General features: G+C 40.6%; 1 long non-coding RNA gene across 1 annotated transcript in view; it reads left to right on the plus strand.

Annotated features, from left to right (window-relative positions):
• Positions 1-13,374, plus strand: part of LOC124901983 (uncharacterized) — a 28,625-nt gene extending 15,251 nt beyond the window's left edge. The window contains exon 3 of the long non-coding RNA XR_007061016.1: positions 1,083-13,374. This is a non-coding gene — a long non-coding RNA (uncharacterized LOC124901983). The remainder of the gene's footprint in view (positions 1-1,082) is intronic.
• The last annotated feature ends 3,197 nt before the right edge of the window (positions 13,375-16,571 follow it).

Genomic DNA, 16,571 nt, shown 5'->3' on the forward strand with positions numbered 1-16,571 from the left:
CCGTAGTAGTGTACAGTAAAGTCCTAGGCCTTCACATTCACTCACCACTCACTCACTGACTCACCCAGAGCAACTTCCAGTCCTGCAAGCTTTGTTCATGGTAAGTGCCCTGTACAGGTGTACCATTTTATATCTTTTATACCATAATTTTACTGTACCTTTTCTATATTTAGATATGTTTCAATACACAAATACTTACCACTGTATTACAATTGCTTACAATATTCAGTACAGTAACATGCTGTACAGGTTTGTAGCCTTGGAGCAATAGACTATATCTTATAGCCTAGGTATGTAGTGGGCTACACCATGTAGGTTTGGGTAGTACCCACTATGATGTTCACACAACAGAATTACGTAATGATATATTTCTTAGAACATATCCCCGTCATTAAGCAACTCATAACTGTGTGGGTAATCTCCACTGGTCCAATTCTGCCCCCCACCCCAAAAAAATGTAGCAGAAACCACAACGTGATACACACCATACTAGAGGCATAGCCCCAGATATGTGTTCCCACTTCAAATTTTCCACATAGGTTGGCTAAAACCAGGTCCTGGAATGTTAATTAGGACCTGATCGCAACTAATGGACCAGAAATTATGAAATGCTTCATGTTACCAGTCATTTAAACTAGATAGTTAAGAATCCAGTTATGGTTAGGTTCAAACTGAGGCTTAAATCTAATATATTTATTGCAAGTAACACTGAACACTCAAGTACCCTTGTTTTGAATCTAAACGACACCACGTATTGTATCCATTTCCTGCATCTTTGAACCATGCAGCAGCCAAATCTGTCATCTTTCTTTCTCATTTGGAAGTATTCAAAGTGACATCTCCTACTATGTCACCATACCTGAGAGAAAACGGGAGTTCGGTTCCCATGCACTGTTTTACATTAGACGAATTTAGTCTGAGAATGTAAGGCAAAGCTGGTAACCCTGCTGCCTGGGTTATGAGTAGGGTGGTATACCAGGGTCAGAGTTGCTCCCATTTTTTCATTTTTGGCCTGTTTGCTTCACAAAAACATTTTCCTTGCCTTAGTCTATCATTATGCCACTTTTTCTTCTTTTTCCTAGAAATATCCACCAGGAATGTGCACTATACGTGGAAATACAAACACAAACCGGAGCTGAGAAGGGCCTGGGTCCCCTGACATCAAGGTTTTTATAAAGAAAAATACACAAAGGCAGCCACGCCTCACTCTGGCTTCCTAGTAACCCCAGAAAAAAATTCCAGAAATGTGTTTTAATTCTTTAGCCTGAGTGACAAAAAGGTTAAAATGTTTCCCAAAGTCCACTTAAGAATAATTCCGACCTTGGGAAAATGGATTTTGTTAGCCCCAAAGCTTATTAAGATTAATGGCAAGAGGGGCTCGTTATTCTGCCAGAAAAATCTACTTACAAATCTAAGAGGGGGATTTTATTCTGTCCATTTCTAAAAGCAGGGGACTTAGAGTGCCTGACAAGTACCCCCTAGGAAGAGGGTGTGCCATATACAGACAGCAGGGGTGCATGACTGGGATGCTCACTTGGAGAGGTATTGGCTAGGCCAGGAAAAAGGGTTCCTTTATGGGACTTCCTATATAGAGAGGTCACCCTGCTCTCACTTCTGAAACCTACCACCCTGGCCACACAACTAGGTTTTATGGAGCCCAGAAAGATATTCAGAAACTGGAGCCTTATTCAGCGTGTAAAAAGCTCTCATGCCTGTTGGCCTTGTTGCTGCTCCACAACAGGGGACTGTGGCTTATTCAAGTGCTCAGCCATCACAATGACCCCACCACCTCTTTCACGACAACCCCACCACCTCTTGGCCCTGCAGCCCCAGCTTCAGACACTGCTGACCAACTGACTCTTCCCATGCCTTGAATGGAAACTCACAGGCAGGATCCCGGCAATTTGCTTATGCACCACGAAGTGCCAGGTATCTCTGTGGGGCGGCACCCGTGGGCTGGCTGCTTTTCAGGTGCAAGATGGATGGCAGAATTTTGGCAAAGTGCTCAGCCCTGGCTATCTTGGCAAGGCAGAGCACAGAAGCCTGTTGCTGAGAGACCGGAATTCCCAGACTCAGAGATGACTAGACAAGGACTCTGGCTTTGATTATCAGCTCATGGAATTGGTGGAAGGCAAATAGACAGGAAGCCTTCAGGTTTTTAAGGAATTTGGTTCAGTCCAAGAAACCCAAGCCTGGCTGACAACAGCCTGTGATTCTTCAATCCCTGAGGTAATTTCCAGGCCCCTCAAATTTGCACCAAAAAGTAATGGGCTTCAAAGAAGTACAGATCCCAAAAAGGGCATATGTGCCAATATCTATCTCAGATGGGCTAAGAGGACAACGGACAAGGGAGACGTTTCCAGACAGCACATCTAGGATTTGTCAGATTGGCTAACCAAGGAACTCACTGCATTACCAAGGCAAGAACACTTCACTGTTCCTGTCAAGCAGGGAAAAATACATACAGTGAATCAGAGACCACTGTGTACTGTTTTCTCATTGTCTATTTCTTCCAATAAAAGTTTTCCTTGAAGCTATCCTCCACCATTTTATATTTACTGGGTTATCATAGAAAGGAAAACAGGCTTAGCTGTTGCAACGAAGAGACCTAAAACTACAGTGGCTCAAAGAAGACAGAAAGAAATTTATTTCTTAAGTGCTAGAGCGGCACTGTCTAATAGAAATATAAGGCAAGTCTCATTTGTAATTTGAAATTCTCTAGTAGCCACACTGGAAAAAATAAGCAGTGAAATTAATTTTTGATAATATATTTCTTTTAACTAATATATCCAAAATATTTTCATTTCAGCATGTAATTGATATAAAATACTATTGATATATTTTGCATTCTTTTTTGGGAGGGACTAAATTATAGCCCATGTCAATTCAGACTAGTCCCATTTCGGGAGCTCAAACGCCACATGTAGCTGGTGGCTACCATATTGGGCAGTGCAGAGTAGAGATCAGAGAGAGTCCCTAAACAGTTCTTTCCAGGGTTAGCCAGGAACTCACAATGCTTCGATTTCATTATTCCACTTTCCTTAGAGCAGGATTTCTCAAGCTCAGCAATATTGACTTTTGAGGCCTGATAAAGCTGTGCTGTTGGGACTATCTAGTGCATAGTAGGATGTTTAGAGTGAGCCTGTTCCATACCTGCTAGATGGAAGTAGCAGTACCTTCCTGTCCCTCCACATTGTGACAATCAAAAATACTGCCAAATGTTGGAGGGTATAGGGCCAAAAATCACCCCAACAGTGGTTCTCAAACTTCTGTGTGTATGCCCTGGAGAGCTTATTAAGACAGAAGTTTCTGGGCCCCACTGCCATAATTCCTGACTCACCAGTTCTGGAGTAGGACCTGAAAATATGCCTTTCCAGTGAGCTCCCTGGACTGCTGGTCCAGGACCCTTTTCAAAAACCACTGGCCTGGGTTGTTATGCTCTTTAGCCCACCTTGCTCACCACCACATGGCATTCTCATTCCCAGGAAGGGGAACAGACAAGAGAGGACAAATGATATGTTTTAAGGCTATAAAGGAGAAGTGGCACGTTTGACTTTTGTTCATATCCCTTTGTTGTGAATTTGGATTCATGGCCACATCTAATGTCAAGAAGTCTAGGAAATGTGGTGTCTAGCTGGGTGGCCATGTGCTTGGTTGAAAATCAGGAGTTCTGTTACTAAAGGGAGGATTGGGAGATTAGATAATGAGGGGAAAATTGCAGGTTTTTCCACAGGAGTGGGTAACATTATTTAGCTATATCAGACTATGAAAAACTCCATCCAGAAACTGACCTAGAAGAAGACACATCAGCTGCAAATCCAGAATCTGGAACTCAAAATGAGAGCTGCTTGTGATTCCAGTAGGCATGAACTTTTGAAGATGTACATAAGGAAAGAAAGGAGTGTGAGACATGGGAAGAAGACAGAGGAGTGGATTTGTCAGTGGAATGTCTTCCCCCCATTCCTTCCCCCATTCCTAATAAGACAAGAAACTCCCCAGATTCGTGATTTTCGCAATTTTAACTCCACTTCTCCAGCTCCAGAGATTGGCCCTGATTGGTCTAAGCCAATCAAGGAATCAGATTTCCCTAGTCACACTGATAGGTTCAGGGATGAACCCATGACTTAAACTAGTCCAACCAGAGGGAAGATCATAATTACCATTTGGTGTTTGGGACAACAGAAACTATTTTTCTCCTTGGATATTAATGAGGAAACTAGTCCTGGAGCAGCTGGCAGCCATGTGACATGAAAGAAGCCAACCCAAGATTAAGCCAAAATATGAAACTGGGCAAAACCAAGAGTATTCCAGGAAAACGGGCATACAGCCCTGGTGATATGCAGAACCTCTGGACCAAACCATGCCTGATGCTGCACCTCTGGAATTTTCAACTAAATGAGCTAAGAAATTTCTTACATTGTTTCAATCCATTTGGTTTAAGCTTCTGTCACTTGTAACCAAAAGTATTCCCAGTAACAGTTGAGCTGAATATGTTTCTTCTTGATACCTAAAAATTCCTCATAAAGGCAAGGCAGGTTTATCTCCTGAACACCTAGCATAAGCATCTCATTGTGTGAGCCCTTGGCATACACTAGCTCATGTCAGTCTCACAATAACCCTGGAGGTAACTATAAATCAGGAAATTGAGGCTCAAAAAGATTAGCTAATGTTCCCAATGTCACTCTGAGAATAAGTGGCTGGCCTGATAATTGAGCTCGTCTGACTCTAAGTCCAGTGCTCTTTGTACATCTTTGGCCTCATATGTTATTTTTTGAAACATGTATATAAATAACAAAGGTTTATATGTTTACTCAAATTCCACGTGGAAAACCGTTCTGACTTTTGAAAATCTGATTCATTGATCAAAAACACATGTAGAATATTAGTTAGAAGGTGGTGTAGACTGTAGTAGGGTTTTATAGGCATCTTGGGCAGGTCCTTCAGAGTAATTGGGATGTGGAATGTGGAAGTCATTTTTATGGGAGAGTTGGGACGTGGCCTCCTGTAGGCAGCCTCAGGCAAAAGAGTGAGTATATCAAGAACAAAAATCACATTGAACCTGGTGATAAGGTTCATGAGGATGTTAATTAAAAGAAATCTCATATTTCAAGGCTGTATTGGTGATATAATTTCAAGCAATGGCATATGACTAACACACAACAGAACCTATAAGGTTTTGCCCCAAGATGTCAGTATTCTTTTGAAAATGGTACATATGGTTTATAAATTGTCCATAGAATTCCTCTCTAGTTCACCTACATTATTACAATGCTTGCTCTGCTTCTCCTCAAATACTCTGCTTCAGCCACAAGAAGTAGAAAGATGACTATATTACATTTTGCTTGATGATGATAAAGTTTGGCTAACTGCACTATTTTAGCCAAATCAAAGGCCCTTTTTTGTGTGTTATTCAAAATAATTACAGGCATACCTCATTTTATTGTGCTTCACTTTACTGTGCTTCACAGATACTACATTTTTTTTACAAATTGAAAGTTTGTGGCAACCTGGCCTTCAGCAAGTCTGTCAGCACCATTTTTCCCAACAGCATGCACTCAGTTTGTGTACTATGTCACATTTGAGTAATTCTTACAATATTTCAAACTTTTTCATTATTATTATATCTGTTATGATGACCTGTGATCAGTGATCTTTGATGTTACTATTTTAATTGTTTGGGGGTGCCACAAACCCTACCCATATAAGATGATGAACTTAACCAATCTGTGGTGTGTGTGTTCTCACTGCTTCACTGACCAGGTGTTCCTTTGTCTCTCTCCCTCTTCTTGGGCCTCTCTATTCCCTGAGACACAATAGTATTGAAATTAAGCCAATTAATAACTCTACAGTGACCTCTAAGTGTTCAAGTGAAAGGAAGAGTCACTTTAAAGGTCTCTCACTTTAAATCAAAAGCTACAAAAGGATTAAACTTAGTGAGGAAGGCATGTAGAAAGCTGAGACAGGCTGAAAGCTAGCCGTCTTGTGCCAAACAGTTAGAGCCAAGTTGTGAATGCAAAGGAAAAATTCTTGAAGGAAATTAAAAGTGCTACTCCAGAGAATACACAAATGATAAGAAGGTGAAACAGCTTTATTGCTGATATGGAGAAAGTTTGAGTGGTCTGGATAGAAGATTAAAGCAGCCACAACATTCCCTTAAGTCAAAGCCTAATCTAGAGTAAGGCCTAAGTCTCTTCAATTCTATGAAGGCCGACAGAGGTAAGGAAGCTGCAGAAGAAAAGTGTAAGCTAGCCAAACTTGGTTCATGAGGTTTACGAAAAGAAGCCATCTCCATAATATAAAAATACAAGGTGAAGCAGCAAGTGCTGATGAAGAGGCTGCAGCAAGTTATCCAGAAGATCTTGCTAAGATCATTGATAAAGGTAACTATTCTAAATAATAGATTTTCAACATAGGCAAAACAGCCCTCTATTGGAAGAAGGTGCAAACTAAGACTTTTCGTGGCTAGAGAGGAGAATTCAATGCCTGGCTTTAAAGCTTCCAAGGACAGGCTGACTTTCTTGTTAGGGGCTAATGCTGGTGACTTTAAGTTGAAGCCAATGCTCTTTGGACCATTCCAAAAATCTTAGGTCTCCTAAGAATGATGCTACATTTACTCTGTCTGTGCTCTATAAATGAAAGAACAAAACCTGGATCACAACACATCTGTTTACAGTATGGTTTGCTGAATATTTTAAGCTTACTCTTGAGACCTACTTCTCAGAAAAAAAGATTCCCTTCAAATGTTTATTGACAATTCACATAGTCACCCAAGAGCTCTCATGGAGATTAATGTTGTAGATGGAGATTAATGACGTGCAAGGAGGTTAATATTGTTTTCATGCTTGCTACACATGTCCATTCTGCAACCCATGGATCAAGGAGTAATTCTGATTTTCAAATGTTACTATTTAAAAAATGCGTTCTATAAGGCTATAGCAGCTATAGAGTCATTCCTCTGATGGATCTCAGCAAAGTACATTAAAAGCCTCTAGAAAGGATTCACCATTTTACATGCCATTAAGAACATTCATAATTCATGGGAGGAGGTCAAAATATTCTCATTAACAAAAGCTTGGAAGAAGTTGATTCCAACCCTCATGGATGACTTTGAGGGATTCAAGATTTCAGTAGAGGAAATCATTTCAGATGTGGTGGAGAAAGCAAAAGAACTAAAATTAGAAGTAGAACTTGAAGATGTGTTCAGATTTCTGCAATCTCGTGAGAAAACTTGAAGGGATGAGAGTTGCTTCTTATGAATGAGCAAAGAAAGTGTCTTCTTGAGATGGACTCTACTCCTGGTGAAGATGCCGTGAGCATTGTTGAGATGACAACAAAGGATTTAAACTAAGTTGACAAAGTAGTGGCAGAGTTTGAGAGGATTTATTCCAATATTGTAGGAAGCTGTACTGTGGGTAAAATGGCATCAAACAGCATCACATACTAGAGAGAAATATTTCAATCATCGAAGAGTCAATTGATGTGACCAACTTCATTGTTATTGTATTTTAAGAAACAAGGCTAGGCACGGTGGCTCACGCCTGTTATCCCAGCACTTTGGGAGGCCGAGGCGGGCAGATCACTTGAGGTCAAGAGTTCGAGACCAGCCTGGCCAACGTGGTGAAACCCCATCTCTACCGAAATTACAAAAATCAGCTGGGCATAATGGCGTGCACCTATAATCGCAGCTACTTGGGAGGATAAGGCAGGAGAATCACTTGCACCTGGGAGGCGGAGGTTACAGTGAGCCAAGATCGCACCACTGCAATCCAGCCTGGGCAACAGAGCAAGCCTCTGTCTCAAAAAAAAAGAGAGACTGTCACAGCCACTCCACCCTTCAGCAACCACCACCCACAGTCAGCAGCCATGAACATCAAGGCAAGATCCTCCAACCAACAAAAAGATTATTACTCAATGAAGGCTCACATGATTGTTAGCGTTTTTAAGCAATAAGGTACTTTTCAATTAAGGTATGTACATTGTTGTTTTAAGTATAATGCTATTGTAAACTTAATAGACTATAGTACAGTGTAAACATAATTTTATATGCATCGAGAAATCCAAAAATTCAGCTGGGTGTGATGGCTCACGACTTAATCCCAGCACTTTGGGAGGCCAAAGCAGGAGGATCACTTGAGGGCAGTAGTTTGAGACCAGCCTAGGCAACATAGCAAGACCATATCTCGACCCCCCCGCTGCCAACATTTTTTCAATTAGCCAGGTGTAGTGGCATTCACCTGTAGTCCCAGCTACTTGGGAGGCTGAGGGAGGAGGATCTCTTGAGCCCAGGAGTTTGAAGCTGCAGTGAGCTATGATTGCGCCACTATACTCCAAATTGGGCAACAGAATGAGACCTTGTTTCAAAATAAAATAAAATAAAATAATCTAAAAAAGAAACAAAAAATTCAAGTGACTCACTTTGTTGTAACACTCACTTTATTGTGATCTAGAACCAAACCACAATATATGCAAGGTATGTCTGTATTCTCTTGGCGGGATGAGAAATAAGAAGTTCATTTTTATATCCACAGTAACTCATACACTGGGATTGCTCTTGAAATTTATTCTTTAAATTGAAATAAATACCTGCTCTATCTCCTAAAAAGCAGAAAAAAAACACATGCGCTTACCCTCACTCCATATTTTTCCAACTGTCAGTCCCATTTTCCTTCAGAAAGTTTATGTCAAAAATGTTCTCAAAGCCCCCAAATTCAGCTTGAGAAAATACAGCTTCACCAATGTTAGTCTAATGATAAAAGTAGTTGAGAACTCAGCTTGGTCCAGAAGCCCATTTGCAAGAAGCTGCTTTTACCACCTAAACATGAATGTAATTATGTCTATAAATAAATACTAAAATGTCAATAAAAGAGGTTTGCTGGGATCCTCTAATATCAGGTACTAGCTATCAAGTATATTTAATGCCCTTACCATTTAATTTGTATTCTTAATTTGTCTCTTATGAAGTAAAAAGTATCTTTTAAAAAATCTTCACCCAGATTTTAACATTCTGTTTAAAAAGTTTCCTATGTAATTATGTTATTTTCCTCCATGGAAGGGATTATTGAAAATTTAGATGTTCACTAGACCCAGTTCCCCTTCATGGATACTCAGCTAAACCACATTTTCCATCTCCCTTGCATCAAAGTGATGCCACATGGCCAATCTTCACCACAGGTATATGAGTCCGAGTAGTGTGCCCCTACTAGATGGAGGCAACTGGGGTCAGACAGTCCTTCCCTGCACACTCTTTTTTCATTTGTTGGCCAATCAGATGCAGAATACCCAGCAGAGGACTCTGAGGCGTAAGTGGCCAAAGGGGCCACTAAAAACAAAAAGATCCGGGTCCCTGGATGACAACGTGGAGCAAAACACCCCACCCACTCCAACCCCAGCTGATCCACATTGGACTGGGACATAAACAAGAAGTGTACCTTTGTCAGATTAAGTCACTGAAATCTGGGCACTGTTTGTTACAGTATTACCTAAATAGACCGATTCGTTGCCCTGTGAAATAGTGGTTAAATATTGTCTAGTGTCTTTGGAAGGCCAAAAACTTGCACAGCACCAAGTAACTGAGCAAATCCATGGCTCTAATAGTCTGAACCCTTGTTCAGACTGACAAGTCTGACACTTAGCCCTTGAGTTCATCCTGCTTTGCATTAGCTCCTCATCTCAACTGCAAGCACCAGGGAAACAAAGTTCTTATTTTACCTTCAATTTTACACTGCCTACTGCAACTAGTACATTTTGAATAGTTAATCATAGTGATTAATTAATGAAATGTTTTAAGAGCCTGCTTATTTTTGGTTAGAAAGGATCTGGGATGGAAAAATGAAAGTAGCATTTGCTGAAACTCTATTGAATGCTTGGTGCCTTGTAAGTTCTAACCCAGATGTCTCTGGATATTGTCACCTTAAGCCTCGCATGCCACACCAGGGGAAGTCCAAAGCCTTCTCTGTAAATTTCTAGGGAAACTAACCCTCCCATGATCATCTGTAGCTCCGATTTCCATGCCCTGCTGCATCTATTCAGTTTGTGGATCATCCTTCTATATCATACATCCTCCATCTGGCCCACCTCCTGACAACTCAAGCATGAAGTTCAACCTCTCCAGTTTCTACCACACACATGCATATGTATAGACACACATGCTTGCTCTCTCACTCTCTTTCTCTCTCTCTCTCAAATGCTATTCATGTGTGTGATACACTTGACCAAGGATTTAGCCAAAGGAGAGATGGTTGCATCCTAGCAAATCATCTAATTTAAATATTATCCTTCCTATTCTTCAAGGCTCTGTGGCTCTGGCCATCAGACATTTTTCGGGGGTCCTTCTTACAACTTCAGCTTCAGGTCACCTCAGTAACTTCTTTCACACACTTTCCTCTTATCTTCCTTCTCATCCCTTTCCTTCCAGGTAGCCCCAATGCACCCCCAATTCATATTCTTTTCACTCCATTATAGAAAGGGTCCAGCTTACCCTGGATCCTACTGCCTAAGGCTCTAGGCACACACTTGCATATATTAACAGAGACCCAGCTGACCCAAAAAAACTTCCCTTCAATGAAAAGCAGGCTTCCTAGAAAGTCACTGTGGCTTAATTTTTTTTCTTCCTCCATTACACACACAGATGCATACAATAATAAAACATTCGCCTCCACATTGCTAAATCCAATGGTCAATATTCAGATCTCATCCTACTTGACTTCTCAATAGCATTTGACTCTAGTGGGTCACTCCCTCCCCTCTGAACACTTTCTTCATTGGACTTCCAGGATAACATACCCACCTGGTTTTCCTCCTACCTTCCTGGCTGCCAGACTTCTTTGCTGGCATCCCCTACCATCCCAACCTCTACTAAATGTCGGTTTTGGGATCTAATCTGTTTCTAAATCTACATTTACCAAAATTAGACAAGATGTTACTCCATCCAGTCTCACAGCTTTAAATATCATCCCTTTGCAGACAATTCCCAAACATATATCTTCATTACAGATCCCTCTCCTAAACTTTGGATTTATTTATCTAACTGCCATTGTATGTCTTTACTTGGCATCTTAAATTTAGGAAGTCCAGAAACAAAGTCCTGATTTCCACTCCATGTGACAGACTGACTTCTCCCCAAACCTTCCCCCTCTCAGTAAACGGCAACTCCATCCTTCCTGTTGTTCACTCACCTTTGAGTCCTCTTTCTTTAATACCCCACATCCACGCCAGTAGCAAATCAGCTTTACCTTGAAAATACGTAAAGAACCCAACCATTCCTCTCCACTTTCACTAATACCACCCTGGCTCAAACACTAGACTTTCTTATCTAACTGGTCTCCCTAGTTCTTCCCTGATTAAGATTAATCATTCTATTCTGAACACAGCAGCCACAGTGGTCCTGTTAAAATGCATGTCACTTATCTATCTAAAACTCTCCTCAACTCAGACTAAAGGTCCTTACAGTGACCCATAAAACCCTACATGATCTTATCACTGTCACCAAACCTCATTGATTGCTACCCTCCACCCCTACCCCTTCTCTCCAGCCAGCTAGACTAATCTACTCTATTTCTCAAACATGCCACGCATATTCCTGCTTCAGGGCCTTGGCTCTTACCTTCCATCTGCCTAAAATGTTCTCACACATTCTTCATTTCTTCCTGTCACTATCATTTTCTTCATGTAAATATCAATTGCATACTTCCTACCCTCATTTCTGCTGCATTTTTTCTTACACTTATTACCATCTAACATATATTTTACTTACTTGCTTTGTTTATTTTCTGTCTTTCCTACCAAAATATGGGCATCTACTTTTATTGATGTTGTTCACTGCTGTATTTCCAGTGGTTACAACAGTGCCTGGCATGCAGAAGGTACTCCATAAATATTTGAATGAATATCAACAACAGCTCTGGAAGCGATTTTTGTCCCATGCTTCATATGAGGAAACAGGTCAGAGAGGTGACAATAATTTGTTCAGTTCGTAAGTGAAGTTGGGGTTCAAATTCCATTCCAGAACAACTCTAAACACTATATTAGTATCATAACACAATATTATCTTCCAGAGGGACTCAGCGCTTCACAACCACAAGAGATCTCTGCTACACTTCTGAAGTCTGTGAAACCAACCGAAATCAACTAAACACTAGCAATTGTCAAATAAATTGTATACATTATCTCGTTCATTCATTTAGTCAACAAATATTGATAATCTACTGTGTGACAGGATATGTGCCAGCACTAAGAATTCAAAGATAACAAAAACAGACAAGGTTCCAATCTTCCCAAACATGAACCAAAAACCACACAGATCAATGGAAAATTGCACCTATGATAAGTGCAATGAGGAAGATGTGTACAAAGGTCAGCCGATCTACAAGTCAGGGAAGGCTTTTCTGGAGTAGGAACATGTAAGCTGAGTTCTAAAAGGTGGGTAGGAGGGAAAAGAGGGACGTTCCAGACAGAGGGAGCAGCACGTGCAAAGGCCCTGTGGTGAGAGGGTGCATGGTGAATGGGAGGGATGGAAAGAAGGCCAGTGTGTCTGGAGCCAAGGGCTTTGGTGATTCATGCTGCAGGGGAAGGCTGAAAGGTAGAGGCTGGACTTCACAGGGAGTTGCAGCCCAGTTAAGATAAAGTGCCCTTTATCCCAGAGCAATGGGAGCCACTGAAAGCTTTGATTTCAATCGAGGCTTAACCAATTTTTCTTAAGCATCCATCATTTGTCAAACAAAACTTCCAAATCCCTTAGGAAGATATTACTAGCCCATTTCCTGGGAGAGGAAATTGATTCTTTTAAGAGTTAAGTGACAAGCCCAAGGTCACATGGTTGGCAAGTGGCAGAACCAGAATCTAGAAGCAGACTAGATCAACTTTGAAGCCAATGTTCTCTCATCTGGTAAATGAGAAAAGGACAGAAATGCTGAGAAACCAGCATTTGCCCCTCACCAGGGGCAAGATGAGGGCAAAAATTCCCAATCACCTTCAACATATCTGCAAGAACCTGTGTTTCATCCTTCTCTATCCACCTGCCCTGAGGAAGGAGGCCTGTTCCTCAGCTCTCTGGGCCCTCAAGGCTGCTCTTCCAATTCATCTGGGCCCAGGCCAAAGAGCAGGTGCCAAAAGACATTAACAGTCATTGGTGTGATTGAAAAGTGACTGAAAAGTAGAGGGTCAAAGAATACCAACAGGTCATATAGTCCCAAGAATTATAGGAATAGAGTGACTCAGCTCTACATTTCACTTGGCTTTCTTAAAAAGGTAGTATTAATTATTGTTATTGTTATTTTATTATTTTGGCAAAAGCTTGAGACAGTTGCAAAAGGACTGGATTAGAGGCAGAAAGGCCTGTTTTCCTCTTTTTTGTTTTTTTAATGAAAACTTCCCAAGGACCCCTTTTCCTCTCTATCTGCTTAAAATAATTTCTTTTTTTATTTTTATTTTATTTTATTATAATTTAAGTTCTAGGGTACATGTGTACAATGTGCAGGTTTGTTACATATGTATACATGTGCCATGTTGGTGAGTTGCACCCATTAACTCGTCATTTACATTAGGTATATCTCCTAATGCTATCCCTCCCCGCTCCTCCAACCCCATGACAGGCCCCAGTGTGTGATGTTCCCCATCCTGTGTCCAAGTGTTCTCATTGTTCAGTTCCCACCTGTAAGTGAGAACATGCGTTGTTTGGTTTTCTGTCCTTGCAATAGTTTGCTGAGAATGATGGTTTCTAGCTTCATCCATGTCCCTACAAAGGACATGAACTCATCATTTTTTATGGCTGCATAATACTCCATGGTGTATATGGGCCACATTTTCTTAATCCAGTCTATCATTGATGGACTGGATTTGGGTTGGTTCCAAGTTTTTGCTATTGTGAATAGTGCCACAATAAATATACGTGTGCATATGTCTTTATAGTAGCATCATTTATAATCCTTTGGGTATATAACCAGTAATGGGACGGCTGGGTCAAATAGTATTTCTAGCTCTAGATCCTTGAGGAATCGCCACACTGTCTTCCACAATGGTTGAACTAGTTTACAGTCCCACCAACAGAGTAAAAGTGTTCCTATTTCTCCACATCCTCTCCAGCACCTGTTCTTTCCTGACTTAACTGGTGTGAGATAGTATCTCACTGTGGTTTTTATTTGCATTTCTCTGATGACCAGTGATGATGAGCACCTTTTCATGTGTCTCTTGGCTGCATAAATGTCTTCTTTTGAGATGTGTCTATTCATGTCCTTTGCCCACTTTTTGGTGGGGTTGTTTGATTTTTTCTTGAAAATTTGTTTAAGTTCTTTGTAGACTCTGGATATTAGCCCTTTATAAGATGGGTATATTGCAAAAATGTTCTCCCATTCTGTAGGTTGCATGTTCACTCTGATGGTAGTTTCTTTTGCTGTGTAGAAGCTCTTTAGTTTAATTAGATCCCATTTGTCAATTTTGGCTTTTGTTGCTGTTGCTTTTGGTGTTCTAGACATAAAGTCCTTGCCCATGCCTATGTCCTGAATAGTATTGCCTAGGTTTTCTTCTAGGGTTTTTATGGTTTTAGTTCTAACATTTAAGTATTTAATCCATCTTGAATTAATTTTTGTATAAAGGTAAGGAAGAGTTCCAGTTTCAGCTTTCTACGTAAGGCTAGCCAGTTTTGCCAACACCATTTATTAAATAGGGACTCCTTTCCCCATTTCTTGTTTTTGTCAGGTTTGTCAAAGATCAGATGGTTGTAGATGTGTGGTATTATTTCTGAGGGCTCTGTTCTGTTGCCTTGGTCTATACCTCTGTTTTGGTACCAGTACCATGCTGTTTTGATTACTGTAGCCTTGTAGTATAGTTTGCAGTCAGGTAGCGTGATGCCTCCAGCTTTATTCTTTTGGCTTAGGATTGACTTGGCAATGCGGGCTCTTTTTTGGTTCCATATGAACTTTAAAGTAGTTTTTTCCAATTCTGTGAAGAAAGTCATTGGTAGCTTGATGGGGATGGCATTGAATCCATAAATTACCTTGGGCAGTATGGCCATTTTCACAATATTGATTCTTCCTATCCATGAGCATGGAATGTTCCTCCACTTGTTTGTGTCCTCTTTTATTTCATTGAGCAGTGGTTTGTAGTTCTCCTTGAAGAGGTCCTTCACATCCCTTGTAAGTTGGATTCCTAGATATTTTATTCTGTTTGAAGCAATTGTGAATGGGAGTTCACTCATGATTTGGTTCTCTGTTTGTCTGCTATTGGTGTATAGGAATGCTTGTGATTTTTGCACATTGATTTTGTATCCTGAGACTTTGCTGAAGTTGCTTATCAGCTTAAGGAGATCTAGGGCTGAGACGATGGGGTTTTCTAAATATACAATCATGTCATCTGCAAACAGGGACAATTTGACTTCCTTTTTTCCTAATTGAATACCCTTTATTTCTTTCTCCTGCCTGATTGCCCTTGCTAGAACTTTCAACACTATGTTGAATAGGAGTGGTGAGAGAGGGCATCCCTGTCTTGTGCCAGTTTTCAAAGGGAATGCTTCCAGTTTTTGCCCATTCAGTATGATATTGGCTGTGGGTTTGTCATAATAGCTCTTATTATTTTGAAATACAGCCCATCAATACCTGGCTTATTTAGAGTTTTTAGCATGAAGGGCTGTTGAATTTTGTTGAAGGCCTTTTCTGCATCTATTGAGATAATCATGTGGTTTTTGTCTTTGGTTCTGTTTATATGATGGATTACATTTATTGATTTTCGTATGTTGAACCAGCCTTGCATCCCAGGGATGAAGCCTACTTGATTGTGGTAGATAAGCTTTTTGATGTGCTGCTGGATTTGGTTTGCCAGTATTTTATTGAGGATTTCTGCATCAATGTTCATCAGGGATATTGGTCTACTCTTTTTTCATTGTGTCTCTACCAGGCTTTGGTATCAGGATGATGCTGGCCTCATAAAATGAGTTAGGGAGGATTTTCTCTTTTTATATTGATTGGAATACTTTCAGAAGGAATGGTACCAGCTCCTCTTTGTACCTCTGGTAGAATTCGGCTGTGAATCCATCTGGTCCTGGACTTTTTTTTGGTTGGTAGGCTATTAACTATTGCCCCAATTTCAGAGCCTGTTATTGGTCTATTCAGGGATTCAACTTCTCCCTGGTGTAGTCTTGGGAGGGTGTATGTGTCCAGGAATTTATCCACTTCTTCTAGATTTTCTAATTTATTCGCATAGAGGTATTTATAATATGCTCTGATGGTAGTTTGTATTTCTGTGGGATCGGTGGTGATATCCCCTTTATCATTTTTTATTGCATCCATTTGATTCTTCTCTCTTTTCCTCTTTATTAGTCTTGCTAGCAGTCTATCAATTTTGTTGCTCTTTTCAAAAAGCCAGCTCCTGGATTCACTGATTTTTTGAAGGGTTTTTTGTGTCTCTATCTCCTTCAGTTCTGCTCTGATCTTAGTTATTGCCTGCCTTCTGCTAGCTTTTGAATGTGTTTGCTCTTGCTTCTCTAGTTCTTTTAATTGTGATGTTAGGGTGTCAATTTTAGATCTTTCCTGCTTTCTCTGGTGGGCATTTAGTGCTATAAATTTCCCTCTACACACTGCCTT

This window comes from Homo sapiens, chromosome 8 (assembly GCF_000001405.40).
Source record: "Homo sapiens chromosome 8, GRCh38.p14 Primary Assembly".
Taxonomy (NCBI): domain Eukaryota; kingdom Metazoa; phylum Chordata; class Mammalia; order Primates; family Hominidae; genus Homo; species Homo sapiens.